At 47.8% G+C, this 15,578-nt stretch overlaps 3 annotated features.

Moving 5' to 3' along the window:
- Nucleotides 7,787-8,287: an enhancer, noted in NCBI's record as "H3K4me1 hESC enhancer chr17:25651700-25652200 (GRCh37/hg19 assembly coordinates)". NCBI's record gives its function as "activates a minimal SCP1, AML or CMV promoter by ChIP-STARR-seq in primed H9 embryonic stem cells {active_cell/tissue: H9 hESC(primed)}" and the evidence as "EXISTENCE:reporter gene assay evidence [ECO:0000049][PMID:30033119]".
- Nucleotides 8,288-8,788: an enhancer, noted in NCBI's record as "H3K4me1 hESC enhancer chr17:25652201-25652701 (GRCh37/hg19 assembly coordinates)". NCBI's record gives its function as "activates a minimal SCP1, AML or CMV promoter by ChIP-STARR-seq in primed H9 embryonic stem cells {active_cell/tissue: H9 hESC(primed)}" and the evidence as "EXISTENCE:reporter gene assay evidence [ECO:0000049][PMID:30033119]".
- Nucleotides 11,923-12,423: an enhancer, noted in NCBI's record as "H3K4me1 hESC enhancer chr17:25655836-25656336 (GRCh37/hg19 assembly coordinates)". NCBI's record gives its function as "activates a minimal SCP1, AML or CMV promoter by ChIP-STARR-seq in primed H9 embryonic stem cells {active_cell/tissue: H9 hESC(primed)}" and the evidence as "EXISTENCE:reporter gene assay evidence [ECO:0000049][PMID:30033119]".

Consider the following 15,578-nt stretch of genomic DNA (forward strand, 5'->3'; position numbering starts at 1 on the left):
AGCTTAAAAAAGAATTACAAAAACAATCTCATAATGTTATTAAGAAGGTTTACGAATTTGTGTTGGGCCACGTTCAAAGCCATCCTGGGCCACATGTGGCCCGTGGGCTACACGTTGGACAAACTTGCTCGAGTATAGATCAGTAAGTAAGAGAAATGAAATGGCTACTCCACTGGGTCGTTTTATGCTTCCGAATTGTTGAATAATAATGAAATGTTCTTATAAAAAATAGATTAAGGATGATGGGCATTAGAGAGATACCTGAGAAAGATAATGATTAAAATAGATCCAAGAGGCCAGGTGCAGTGGCCCTCGCCTGTAATCCCAGCACTTTGGGAGGCCAAGGCAGGCAGATCACCTGAGGTCAGGAGTTCGAGACCAGCCGGCTAACATGGTGAAACCCCGTTTCTACTAAAAATACAAAAAATTAACCCAGCATGGTGGCATGCGTCTGTAATCCCAGCTACTCAGGAGGCTGAGGCAGGACAATCGCCTGAACCCGGGAGGCGGAGGTTGCGGTGAGCCAAGATTGCACCATTGTACTCCAGCCTGGGCAACAAGAGTGAAACTCCATCTCAAAAAAAAAAAGCCAAGAATGAGGCTGATATTAAACAGAAATATATATATATATGTATATATATATATTTTTTGACACGGAGACTCGCTCTGTTGCCCAGACTGGAATGCAGTGGTGCAGGCTCAGCGCACCACAACCTCCGCCTCCCGGGTTCAAGAGATTCTCCTGTCTCAGCCTCCTGAGTAGCAGGGATTACAGGCCGTGCCACCACACCTGGGTTATTTATTTATTTATTTTGAGACGGAGTCTCTCCCTGTCACCAGGCTGGAGTGCAGTGGCACATTCTCGGCTCACTGCAACCTCTGCCTCCTGGGTTCAAGCGATTCTCCTGCCTCAGCCTCCCAAGTAGCTGGGACTACAGGTGCCTGCCACCATGCCCAGCTAATTTTTGTATTTTTAGCAGAGGTGGGGTTTCACCATGGTGGCCAGGATGGTCTCGATCTCTTGACCTCGTGATCTGCCTGCGTCGGCCTCCCAAAGTGCTGGGATTACAGGCGTGAGCCACCACGCCCGGCTGTATTTTTTTTTTTTTTAGTAGAGACAGGGTTCTGCCATGTTGGCCAGGCTGGTCTGGAATTCCTGACCTCAGGTGATCCACCCACCTCAGCCTCCCAAAGTGCTGGGATTACAGGCATGAGCCATCACGCCCTGCCTTAAATGGAAATCTTAAAAGACATACATTTGCACCAAGTGAGCTAAATATTTTGGCACCAAACTCACACAAAATGGCCGGGCACAGGGGCTCACACCTGTAATCCCAGCACTTTGGGAGACTCTGGTGGGCAGATCACTTGAGGTCAGGAGCTGGAGACCAGCCTGGCCAACATGGTGAAACCCCATCTCTACTAAAAATACTCCCCAAAAATTACCTGGGCGTGGTGGCTCATGCCTGTAAGTCCCAGCTACTCAGGAGGCTGAGGCAGGAGAATAGCTTGAACCTGGGAGGCAAAGTTGGCATTGATCCAAGATGGCGCCACTGCACTCCAGCCTGCATGACAGAACCAGACTCTGTGTCAAAAACAAACTCACACAAAATGGGAAACCCAGTAAGTTGTATGATTCACAATATTAATCTCACAGTAATGGCTGAGGAAAAGCACAGTTAATATTATGGACCGAATGTTGTATGCACACCCCACGACCACCACCACCACCACCAGTAATACGTTGAAATCCTAATCCTCAATGTAATGATATTAGGGAGTGGGGCCTTTGGGAGGTGATTAGGTCATGAGGGCGGAGTCCTCATAATGGGATTCGTGCCCGTGTGAAAGGAACCCTAGAAAGCTCTCATTCCCTCTCCACCATGTGAAGATACAATGAGAAGACAACAGTCTAACCGAGAAGAGGACCTGCACCCTGATCTCAAACTTCCAACATCCAGAACTGTGAGAAGTTAACTTCTGTTGTTTATAACCCATCTAGTCTATGGTACTTTCTTCTAGCAGCCCAAATGGACTAAGGCATAGGAACAGCAGGAATGCCTCCTTGAAACTTCTTTATTTTTTCAAGATGGTCTCGCCCTGTGACCCAGGTTGGGGTGCAGTGGCATGATCACGGCTCACTGCAGCCTCCATCTCCTGAGCTCAATCGATTCTCCTGTCTCAGCCTCCTGAGTAGCTGGGACTATAGTTATGCACCATCACACCCAGCTAATTTTTGTATTTTTTATAGAGACAAGGTCTTGCTGCCTAGGCTGGTCTCCATCTCCCAGACTGTAGCAGTCCTCCCGCCTTGGCCTCCCAAAGTGCTGGGATTACAGGTGTTAGCCCCCCACACCTGGCCAAAACTTCTTAATTAGATATAAACTGTGCTAGAGCACAGACAGTGATTTCTGTGTACTCCCCAACCATCTTGCCACCTCTAAGACCCCTAACATGATTTGGCAGAAATTACACAGGCTTCAAGTTCTCCCTTGGATGATAACAGTTGAGCTCAGAAGAGAAACAGTAAACATTACTGTGGCCTTGCTGTGTTGCAAGGGTCTGCAGGCAGCTTCTGGGAAATAGGACCGGGAAGCCCCCAAGTCAAAGGTTGTCCCTGCCATCCCCCTGGGTGACATGAGCCTGTCTCACTTGTTTTACCCAATTTCATAACAAACCCAATTCTTGTATATTTGAGTTTATGATGCATTACCTAAATGGCCTGTTTTTGGTGGTCAGATAAGCTGGCCCAGCCAGAAGTCATCTTGCCCATTTCTCAAGTTCCATCAGAGTCCTAATTTCCACATCACTTCCTTCAAATACAGCCTGTTGCTAGGTACTCATTCTTGGGTGTTGGTTACTCATTTAGAATGCAAATTCCTTACACCTGAGGAAATCCTTCAAACTTTTCCCACTGGACTCTACCCCTGGCTGATATTTGGGTCACAGTGGTTGTTGATGCCTTGGCAAGTGAGAGACCAGCCCCCGGTCAGCAGTCATGGCAGTAGCTCTGGCCTGGGGAGCTGGGATGGGCATCCTGGTGCACGCTCATCCAGCTTGTGCTGGGTGGAGAAAGCAGCTCCCTCAGACTGTGTCTGGGTCACGCTGCTCAACACCTGGCAAAGACCCAGCTTTCTAGGCTTGGCCCCATCTGGCCTCAGATCAGGAGGCTGTTCATATAGCAGCTTGGCCCACTTTCTCGCCACAGGGCCTGCTGCCCAGAGGACTTTGCAGAAGTGTTGGCTGAGGCTGCAGTCCCAAGAAAGACAGGTGATTGCTGGCTTGGCTGCTTAACAGCTTGTAACTTTCAGAGCTTTGATCTAAGAATACTGTAATAATACCTCTCCTCCATGAATAGTGTTTAGCTTCTATTTTGTATCTGCAACAGTGTCAGGTACATGGCAGGCACTTGACAGCTGCTACTACCATCTGTTGAGCACTGACCACGTGCTCGTCACTATCCCTGGTACTTCTTAACAACCCTGTAGAATTATCCTGTATTATAGCTGTGGAGGTTCAGAGAGGCCAGCTCCTCAGGTCACACAGCTAAGAGAAGACCATCGAGCATGTAAATTCAGATTAATCTGTCTCCAGGCTGGGCCCAGTGGCTCACACCTTTAATCCCAGCACTTTTGGAGGCCAAGGCGTGAGAGTCACTTGCACCCAGGAGTTCAAGACCAGCCTGGGCAACATAGTGAGAGCTCGTCTCTACAAATAATAATTTTTAAAAAATTCGCTGCACATGGTGGTGTGCCTGTGGTCCCAGATACTCTTGTAGCAGGAAAAGCTGCAGACAAAACCCCTCAGACATCGAGTTAAAGAAGGAAGCAGTTTATTCAGCCGGGAGCATCAGTAAGACTCCTGTCTCAAGAGCCGAGCTCCCTGAGTGAGCAATTCCTGTCCCTTTTAAGGGCTCACAACTCTAAGGGGGTCTGCGTGAGAGGGTCGTGATCGATTGAGCAAGCAAGGGGTACGTGACTGGGGGCTGCATGCACCAGTAATTGGAACGGAACAGAACAGGATGGGGATTTTCACAGTGCTTTTCTATACAATGTCTGTAATCTATAGATAACATAACCTATTAGGTCAGGGGTCGATCTTTAACTACCAGGCCCAGGGTGTGGCGCTGGGCTGTCTGCTGGTGGATTTCATTTCTGTCTTTTAGTTTTTACTTCTTCTTTCTTTGGAGGCAGAAATTGGGCATAAGACAATATGAGGGGTGGTCTCCTCCGTTACTCTGGAGGCTGAGGTGGGAGGATCACTCAAGCCTGGGAGGTAGAGGCTGCAGTGAGCTGTGATTGCACCACTGCACTCCAGCCTGGCAACTAAGAGAGACTCTGTCTCAAACACAAAATAAATCTGTCTCAGGAGCCCTGTTTCTTTTCATGATGGCCATAGACGGGCACTGTCATTTAGGAAGGGCATTCAGTCAACATCAAATACCAAAATTAGCTCTCTTTTTTTCTATGAATTTTTTATTTCAATATTTTATTTTTGTGGGTATATAGTAGGTGTATATGTTTATGGGGTACATGGGACTAAATTGGTTCTTGCCTGTGCCTCTGCCAACTCCCTAGAGCCAGCCATGATGTCAGGCTAAACCTTTCCCAACACTCCCTACCTTTCATTGAATCACAGGGAAAACAAACGCAGAAGGAATGACTCCAAATATAATTAGGCCATTGAAACCCACACAAGGTGTCCTTCGCCCACCACCTGGGCAAATGATACCAAAGGATGGTTAGTTTTTTCCTACACACCACTCTCCTTGGGAACTGATCTCACATTTTCATTGCAATGTGAACAAATCCAACTCAAACAGGCTGGAGCAGGATGCTCCAAAGCAATCACTGCAGGTGAGGAAGTCACCTGACCCTGCACCCCTGGCTTTATTTATTTGTCTGGTCATGGTCACAGGTTGAGCCTCTAGCTTTAATGATCAACAAGAGGTCAGGTTACAAGCTGACGTGAGCCCCTTTTTTTTTTTTAATTTTATTTTTGTGTTTTGAGACAGAGACTTGCTCTGTCTCCTAGGCTGGAGAGCAGTGACACAATCATGGTTCATTGCAGCCTCAACCTTCTGGGTTTGAGCAATCCTCCCACCTCAGCCTCCTGAGTAGCTGAGACTTCAGGTGCGCGGCATCACACCTGACTAGTTTTTGTATTTTTTGTAGAGTTGGGTTTTCACCATGTTGCCCAGACTGGTCTCAAACTCCTGGACTCAAGCAATCTGCCCCCATCGGCCTTCCAAAGTGCTGGGATTACAGGCATGAGCCAGCACACCTGGCCTGACATGAGCCCCTTCTACCAGCTGTATCAGACAAGGGTAGTCCCACTTGCCTGGAGCTGACCTGCCAGTAATACCAGCCATTGGGGCTGGCCCTGGGTTAAGAGTCCAGGGGCCAGACTGCATTGGGTGGAACTGTTATCTAGATCAACTAATACAGATGCCATCTAGGGAGCAGGGAGAATTCATACCCAGGAAGGACCCAACTCAGTAATAAAGGGTCAGACCATTCTTACCATATTTCACTGATAAGAAAGTTATACTTTTATCTCTGCACTCTGAAATTAGGACATATTTTATAATCAAAGATGTCTTAAAAATTGTTTTAAGTGGTACACACTGTAATGGTATATTATAGATAATGGTACAGATTATAAGTGTCATTGAGGATTTGATAAAACACAAAGTCAGGAGAATGTACATATAAAAGTCAAAGGTCAGTGGAATGCTATATATAATGTCAGCAGTAAAAGACACCAGAAACAGGTAGTAAGTGAAGTGTTAATTTCTATTTGTATTAAATAAAGTGTTAATTTCCATTTGTATTGAAATATAGCTAACATTTATGAACTTTCACCATGATTCAGGCACTGTTCTAAGTGCTTAATGTGTATAATTGAATGCTCACAACAACCCTATGAAACAGACAGTTATCTTCATTTTATAAATGAGGAAACTGAGGCACAGAGGGGTTAACTAACTCGCCAGAAGTCACGTGATAGTAAATAGCAGAGTCAGGATTCAAGCCCAGGCTATCTGACTCCAGAGTCAAGAAATACTTGGGGCTGGGTGCAGTGGCTTACGTCTGTAATTTCAGCACTTTGGGAGGCAGAGTGGGGAGGATTGCTTGAGTCCAGGAGTTACAGGCCAGCCTGGGCAACAAAGTGAGACCCCATTCCTACAAAAAAATCAAAAAATTAGCTGGGCATGGTGGCCTGTGCCTGTGGTCCCAGCTACATGGGAAGGTAAGGTGGGAAGATCACTTGAGCCCGGGAGGTCCAGGTTGCAGTGAGCCATGTTTGCATCACTGCACTCAAGCCTGGGCAACAGAGTAAGACCCTGTCACAAAAGAAGAAAAAAAAAGAAAAAAAATACATGGCTTAAGATCTTTGCTCTAACCACTTTGCAGCTGTGTGCCCTTGGGTAAGCCCCTTAACCTCTCTGAAACTCCTCCTCATAATCACAGTATGGCCCAGGGATGTATGGATTAAATAAGATCAAGCCCCAGAAGCACTTAACATAGGGCCTAGTCTTGGTGAGGGAGGCAGTTGTTATTAATATGCCCAAAAGATCACATCTCCACACCACCACCAGCCTGGCTATTTATGAAAACCCCATCCCCTATACAAATTTGAAACAAATCAGAGAATTGTTTTAGTGTTTTGAGCAGTTGTTTGTTTAGCTTTTTTTTTTTTTTCCTTTCCTGAAACAATGCCAAAGTCCTTAAAAACAGCCACACCCCACCATGGACTTCCTGTGAATGGTCAGATGATCTGGGAGCGATGGGAGGGAGGCAGAGAAGTGGGTGAAAATCCAGCTTGACTTCCTTTCCCCAAGATACAAGCCCTGGAGCCCAGGGGAGGAGCCTCCTTCCACTGGAGAGTCTGCCTGGGCGGGGAAGGCTGCAGCCCGGGCTGGGCGGAGGTTTTGCTACAACCAGTAGTTGGGCCAACTCCACAAGGTGGACTGTGTACAAAGAGACAGACGATATTGTTTAGGGGCCCCTTGGGTATGGACAGATCATGGCACAAACCACCCTCTGGGGCCTGATTCTGAGCCTCTGCCCTGACAGAGGCTGCCCTGGATTCCTCAGCATCCCGTGCCTCTCTCTGTCCCAGCACTGGTCATCCATGCACTCACTTATTCATTCATTAATTCATGCATGCATTTATGTATTCACTCAGCAGCAATTGAACACTTGCCATATGCCAGACTACTGGACGCTGGAGCTATCAAGACAGTTTCTGCCTTCTAGGAACTCCAGTCTAGGGCACAGATGATAACAGACCTGCAAACCCCTAAACAGCTGAGGAAAAGACAACCTCATAATTGCCATAATGGGCCACATGCAGGATCACTAATCAGCCTTCCTTGCTTGCACAGGAGGCAACAGAGAGAGATGATTGACAATACACTACTAGGGTAGGCATCCCAGCTCTCTACTCACTAGCAAGTAGCTGAACCTCTCTGCGTCTCCTTCCTTCACTGTAAAATGGGGATAATAGAAGTTACATCCTCGTGGGGTTGTTATGAGGATTAGAGACTTAATAGTTCTGAATCTGGAATAGGGCTGGCCTGGACAATGTAAGTGGTATCTTTCTTTAGTATGCTGCAAGTTCTTGGTACAATGCTGGGGTTCTATACCCACACCACCCCCCAAGTGGGAGAATGTGCCCAATGGACCTCACCAGAAAATGAGGGGTGACAAGGACCTCAGAGATGAACTAAGGCTGGTGTTGACCTTCACAGTTACTGGTGGAATTTCTGAAAACATTTCTACCAGGCCCATTGCCTGGATATTCTAAGTCCAAACCACAACCCAGGCCACACAGAGGTATATCCCCTGCTGAAAACCACCAATGTGATTCAAACCCCTTCATGTTCCTAAAGTCAATCAACTTGACCAAGACAAGGTGAGCATTAGTAGCAGAGCCCAGACTGATAAACTAAGGTGCTGCTTTCTTTCAATCCTATTACTGGAACCAATGCCCCAGCAGCCCCTATAGCCAACGAGACAATGGCAGAAAGCACCAGAAACCAAGGAGGAAGCTGGGAAACTCCACGTGGGGCAGTGCCTGCTGCCCTGCCCATCTGCCTCCCTACTTGATTGCCCCTTCCCAGTTCAAGGCATACTTTAGGGCCCACTTCTTCAATTCCTGCCACTGAAGGCTAATTCCGTAGATAGTTGTGGACCTGCTCTTGGGCAGAACAAGGCCTGAAGAGAAGAGGCAGCTGCAGAGCCTGGCAGTCTCTCAGGGGCTCGGCCATCAGGACTGCATCTGAGCACACAGGGCCAGCCAGGTGGGGAAGGTCATGGCGGGAGCCCACACCCTACACTGGGGAACTGGCTGCCAGAGAGTTGGCCCTGTCTGCCTCCAGGCAGCTTGAACATCAGCTCCTGGTTGGGAGAAACCTTATTCTTAACTCTCAGAGTTAAGAGCCCATGGATACCCTCACTCCCAGAGAACAATGTATGCACTCCACATTTGGAATTTATTTTCCTAGTGTTGGATATAAACTCCTGGCATCCACTCTTGCTGAGGTTGTCTTCACAGACCTTTGTCCAGCCTGCCCCTGGTAGCCACAGGGGATCTTCCTAAAATGCAGATCTGACCCAGGCTGGGCCTTTAAACTCTTGACTGCCCTGGGCCCTCCCCTGTCTGGACCCTGTCCAATCCCTCCAGGCTTTCCCAAGCCCAGACCTCCTGCTCTGGTTCTTCTCCCCACTCTTCCATGATCCAGCTGGCCCTCCAGCCTCCTCCTAGGCCTGCTAAAAGAAATATATTTATGTTTTTAAAGAGAGAGTCGGGGCCAGGTGCGGTGGCTCACACCTGTAATCCCAGCACTTTGGGAGACTGAGGTGGGTAGATCACCTGAGGTCAGGAGTTCGAAATCAGCCTGACCAACATGGTGAAATCCCATCTCTACTAAAAATACAAAAATTAGCTGGGCATGGTGGCACATGCCTGTAGTCCTATGTACTTGGGAGGCTGAGGCAGGAGAATCGCTTGAACCTGGGAGGTGGAGGTTGCAGTGAGCCAAGATCGTGCCACTGGACTCCAGCCTGGGCAGAGCAAGACTCCATCTAAAAAAAATCAAAAAAATACAAAGAGAGAGAGACTCGATTTTTGAAAATATTAAGTAGTGAATAGCACAGATGATTGGCAGTTGTGGCACAAATTGTGAGAGTGGTTTGCAAAGACTAAGTTGGAAAAGCAATGCAGAAAGATGGAAGGGACAGAGGGAAGAGATCAAGGGGCCAGAAAGGGGTCTTGATCAGCTCTTTGGCATTGACAGTGTTCGTGTGCATGACTCTCTAGCTCCAGACCTGGAGGGCAGGCGGGGCCAGTCACATGTTTGTCTCTTAATCAATTGTTATGATTCAGAAACAATGAGTGGCAATGCTCAGGTGTGTCAAGGAAGAAAGGCTCTAGGTGTGATGTAAGTCTGGACAGATGACTATGAGTTTGCCAAGTTGGGTGAGGGGGGCAGTAAGGGTATCAGAGTATGAAGCAGTTTCCAGTATTTTAGGGAAACTGACACAATCAAAGCATAGCAGTGCAGGGACAAGGTTAGTTTTGCTTGTCAGCTATAGGACAGCTGGGAAATAATGTACCAGAGAGTGCAAGGCAAGAGGCAGGAGGAGCAGGGTGGAGGCTATGACATTATTAATATTCATTCTACTTTGCCCATGGTATTAATTATTATCATTTATAATTGCCACATCATGTCTCAGAACATTTTATTCAATGAAAATAATCATAGTTAATATTCACAGTCATGTATACCTCACCTATTCTACCTTCTTTAATTCTTATAATCCTGTAAGTTTGGTTCTACTCTAATCATCATCCTTATTTTACAGAAGAGGAAACTGAGGCACAGAGAGGTATATAACTTTCCCTAGGTTGCACAGCAAGTTAGTGCAGAGCTGGGATTTGAACCCAGCAGGCTGGCTCTAGGAACTGTGTTTCTAACCACTGCACTGCCTTTTCCCTCGCCTCACAGGTTCTCAAACATCTACTGAGGACCTACTATGGCCCACTGCCTGTCCTATGCTTTATGCATAGGGATAAGTCTGTGTATTGAAGGAGCTTTCAGTCTAATTAACTATTTCCCTGTGGGTGGACACTTAAAGTCTTTTCTCCTTTTAAAGATAGCTCCTCGAGGAATGAAGCTTTTGTAATCTCAAAGCTGGACAAAAACTGTGCATCTAGTGGGTCAGAAGTTCTGCTTCATAGGCTGGGCGTGGTGGCTCATGCCTGTAATCCCAGCACTTTGGGAGGCCAAGGTGGGCAGATCACTTGAGGTCAGGAGTTCGAGATCAGGCTGGCCAACATGGAGAAACCCTGCGTCTACTAAAAATATAAAAATTAGCTGGGCGTGGTGGCGCACGCCTGTAATCCCAGCTACCCAGGAAGCTGACGTGGGAGGATCACTTGAGCCTGGGAGATGAAGGTTGCAGGTGAGCCGTGATCACACCATTGTACCCCAGCCTGGGTGACGAGTGAGACTCTGTCTAAAAAAAAAAAAAAAAAAAAAAAAAAGGAGTTATGCTTCATAGCTCTTGTTCATGCTTTCAGATTGCTTTCCAACAGTGCAGAGTCCATTTAAACCACAAGCACCCGTGTGTATCTGCGAGTGGCAATCTCGCCAGAACCTCACCAGCACTGGGCATTATCTTGCCAAAAAAGTTTTGGTACCCCGTGAGTTCCACAGGCAGCTTCTTCCTCTGTAGTGTTCACATCCCCAGTCTAGTCACAAATGAAGGGAAAAGCTTGTTAAAGGTGGATGGAATATTAAGTTACAGAGAGGATGGAGGATACACGTACAACTGTGAAGTGGGCCAGATTCACGGGGCTTTTGCACTTAGACTGGGAAAAGTACTGTCTTTCTTGGGTCTAATCTGAAAATGTTCCCTTGAGGCAGCTAGATTTCAAGAGCAAGAGGCTCAGACAGAGAACATGTAACTTTGAGGTGAGATGTGTAAGTAAACAAGGAAAGAAGACAGATTGGGAACATTTCTCCCCAAACATTCCACAGATAATAAATATTCCACATTATCATTTAATGTCACCAACCTCTCTTGTTCCCATCACATTGTATTATAATTGTGTATACATCTGTCTTGTGAGCAGACCAGGAGTCTAGACATTTTTCCATCTAGTTTCCTGACGTAGATAGTGACGTACTTTGTGTGGCATGATGTGCCAGACACATGGAAGATTCTCTGAGAACACTCGTTGAACTGGTCTGAACATCCCACACTATTGTATTATGCTGGTTCCTAACACTCATACTGCAATATAATTCTGTGAAGAAGAATCACATGCACTCTTTTCTTAGCGGGGCAGCAGGGCAGGGGGCAGGTGGGAAAAGGTGAGCAAGAGGGAGGCAAATCTTGAAAGCTGTGCAGGGGCCAGGTGCGGTGGCTTATGCCTTACGCCTGTAAACCCAGCACTTTTGAAGATTGAGGCAGGTGGATCCCTTGAGCTCAGAAGTTTGAGACCAGCCTGAGCAACATGGTGAAAACCCGTCTCTACCAAAAAAATAAAGCAATCAGCTGGGGTGGTGGTGCACCCCTGCAGTCTCAGATACTTGGGAGGCTCAGCTGGGAGGATCACTTGAGCCCAGGAGGTGGAGGCTGAAGTGAGCTGAGATTGCACCACTGCACTCCAGGCTGGGTGACAGAGGGAGACCGAGTCTCAAAAAAACAAAACAAAACAAGTTATGGGCACGATGGCTCATGCCTGTAATCCCAGCACTTTGGGAGGCTGAGGCGGGTGGATCATGAGGTCAGGAGTGTGAGACTAGCCTGGCCAAGATGGTGAAGCCCCATTTCTACTAAAAATACAAAAGTTAGCCAGGCGCGGTGGCGGGTGCCTGTAATTCCAGCTACTTGGGAGGCTGAGGCAGTAGAATCGCTTGAATCCGGGAGGCGGAAGTTGCAGTGAGCTGAGATTGCACCACTGCACTCCAGCCTGGCGATAGAGCAAGACTCCGTCCCAAAAAACAAACAAAACAAAACAAAAAACTGTGCGGGTTATGGCAGAAGTCCACTGTAAGAGATATTCAGAAGCCCTCAGTACTAGGGAGAACATGGAACAGAGTTTCTGTTCTTTATTTCTCTTATCTCACCCCCCAGGGCCTGGATCAAAGCCCAGTGCACAGAGGGGCTCCACAAAACCACACCAGTCACCTGGCACCACCAGGGTGGACCCCCAGACCAGGGTAGGCCCCAGCCTGTATTGAGACAATAAGCAGACACAGTCCTGCAAAGCTAGGCCCAGCAACCCAGCCTGCAGCAGTGGAGATGCATTGATTTGCATCTGAAAATAAGCTGCATCTGTATCTGCCACTGCTTCAAAAGGAGAGAAAAAAGGGGTTGTTAGCAAAGCTGGTGGGCAGGGTTGCAAAAGGAGGCTGAGTCTGTGGCTAACTGGGTTGTGCGCCGCATCAGACATTTGTTCATCTGTCCTAAGAGCCTGAGGGTGGTGGAGATGTTTGATGACAAATAAGGTGGTTGAGGGGGTCAGGGGTGCCAGAAGGACCACAGAGGCCACACGGGAAGACAGAAGCTTTGGATGGGGCTGCTTCCTGCCCTGGGGATGAGGAACAGGTGAGGGGGCGGGTGAGCAGGTGTCGAGGGAGGGGTGACTTGAGGCTGACAGTGCACTCCTCAGAGTGGCAATTCCATGCAGCCTGCTGTGCACCTGTCAGCCTCTTGTCATCACAAACTTTTAAAAAGCCCAGAAGATGCATGCATGTCTCTGCGCTCACAGATCCACATGTAAAGTTATTCTCCATGGAGGTTCCCACAGCACGCACCCAGACATGTACCATAAAGCAAATCTCCCTAACTGTCCAGCCGTAGGGAGGGACAGGTTCACCATGTGGCAGGATGTTAGGAGCCTTTACAAAGAAAGACACGAAGCTGTAGGAAGAGAACACAGAAGTTCCAGAATGGTAGTTCAGTGATTATAATTGTATATATGTATATATACATATATACAAATGTGTATCTATATACACATATATCTATATTTACATATATATAAAATGTGTTGCAAAGCTTAGAAGGATGGATTTATACCAAACTCTTTTTTTTTTTTTTTTGAGGCAGAGTTTTGCTCTTGTTGCCCAGGCTGGAGTGCAATGGCGTGATCTTGGCTCACTGCAACCTCTGCCTCCCGGGTTCAAGCAATTCTGCTGTCTCTGCCTCCCAAGTACCTGGGATTACAGGCATGCACCACCACGCCCCACTAATTTTGTATTTTTAGTAGAGACAGGGTTTCTCTATGTTGGTCAGACTGGTCTCGAACTCCCGACCTCAGGTGATCGGCCCGCCTCAGCCTCTCAAAGTGCTGGGATTACAGGTGTGAGCAACTGAGCCCAGCCGTATACCAAACTCTTAATAGTGTGAACCCAAAATATATGAAACAGGTCTCAGTTAGTTTAGAAAGCTTATTTTGCCAAGGTTAAGGACATGCCCATAACACAGCCTCAGGAGGTCCTGATGACATGTGCCCAATGTGGTCGGGGTACAGCTTGCTTTCCTTTTTATTTTTTTTCTTTTCTTTCCTTTTTTTTTTTTTTTTTTGAGACAGAGTTTCGCTCTTGTCATCCAGGCTGGAGTGCAATGATGTGATCTCAGCTCACCAAAACCTCCGCCTCCTGGGTTCAAGCTATTCTCCTGCCTCAGCCTCCCAAGTAGCTGGGACTACAGGCATGCGCCACCACGCCCGGGTTAATTTTGTATTTTTAGTAGAGACGAGGCTTCTCCATGTTGGTCAGGCTGTTCTCAAACTTCTGACCTCAGGTGATCCACCTGCCTCGGCCTCCCAAAGTGTTGGGATTACAGGCGTGAGCCACTGCACTTGGCCGCTTTCATACATTTTAGGAAGACAATACATCAATCAATACAGGCAAGGTTTACATTGGTTTGATCTGGAAGGGCAGGACAATTCAAAGTAGGGTGCAGCTTCCAGAGGTCAGATTTTAAAACTTTCTGATTGGCAATTGATTGAAAGAGTTATTATCGGTAGAAAGGAATGTCTGGGTTATGATAAGAGGTTGTGAAGACCTAGGTTTTGTCACACAGACGAAGCCTCCAAGTAGCAGGATTTAGGGAGAATAGACTGTATTGTTTCTTATCAGACCTAAGGTCCCCGTTGGTGTGAATGCTGGAGGGTATAATGAGGCATCTCCCACCCCCTCTTCCATCGTGGCCTGACTAGATTTTCAGGTAACCCTGGAATGCCTTTGGCCAAGAGGAGGGGTCCATTATTTTTGGTTTACAACAGTGAGAAGTGAGTTGGGGGAGAATTGGACTTTTGTTTGGGTTCTATTTTATACACATCTCTATTGTTTGGATATTCTGCAGCAAACATTACAAATTTTTTTAAATGCTGAAGTCAAATTGATGCCTTCAAGTCTATGAACGCTGTCATCCCAGCAAAGCACAGTGCACCTGCTTTCCCATGTGTTCTGGGCATGTCCTCACAAGTTGGGGTGAGACAGAGTTGATCCCTCTGCCACTCTGCCCACTCCTGCCAATGGCTGTGCTTCCTGGCAAGTCATTGGCTCTTCTGAGCCTCAGTGTGCCCACCCATAATGCAGGCAGAGGCATCTCAGAAGCTCCAGAGTCACTGGGAAATGGCACATGGGGTGGCAGGAAGGTGGGAGGGGGAGAGAACAAGAAGGCACTATGTTAGCAAAACTCAGCATGAGGGAGGGCCAGCTGCAGCCCAGCTCCTTGGCTGCAACCACAAGGGAGGGCAGGGAAAGAAGAGGAAGGAAAGAAAAAAGGAGAGGAGCCAGGCCTGGTGGTTCACTTTGGGAGGCTAAAGAGGGCAGATCACTTGAGGCTGGGAGTTCGAGACCAGCCTGGTCAACATGGTGAAACCCCATCTCTACTAAAAATACAAAAATTAGCAAGGCTTGGTGGTGTGCATCTGTAGTTCCACCTACTTAGGAGGCTGAGGCAGGAGGATCGCTTGAACCTGGGAGGTGGAGGCTGCAGTGAGCCAAGATTGTGCCACTGCACTCCAGCCTAAGCTACAGAGTGAGACTCCATCTGAAAAAAAAAAAAGAGAGAAAAGAAAAGAAAGAAGAGGAAGGGCTACTGCACTCTGGACTCAGTGCCCTCCTTGGTCTCACACCCTTGCTGACCTCCCTCCTGGCACATGAGGTCTTCATGCTGCTCAGGCCCATGGCTGACCTCCTCTCCTCTGGAGTGGTCCATCCCTACCAGATCTCCTCCTGTCCAGCTGAGCAGACCAGGCCTATACAGGCTGCTTCTGGCTCCACTGAGGCCCAGGAGCTTACACCTTTGGACCGGGTGTCAAAAGTGTCCTTCTTATTAGCAAAAAGAATTTTGGAGGGAAAAACAAATGACATCCTCAGACATCCTAGGGCAGAGTCAGAAGCAGAGAGGAGACTGAATGGGCTCGGGTGGGTGTGGAAGGTCACTGCAGGCCGCCATAGGACAGGCCTGGGCTCACAGGAGCAGGATGTGGGGAGGGGGATTGCCAGGCAGGGGTGGGGACCAAAGTGAAGGCCACCTGGTGGG

The sequence above is a fragment of the Homo sapiens genome, chromosome 17, assembly GCF_000001405.40.
Source record: "Homo sapiens chromosome 17, GRCh38.p14 Primary Assembly".
Lineage (NCBI taxonomy): Eukaryota > Metazoa > Chordata > Mammalia > Primates > Hominidae > Homo > Homo sapiens.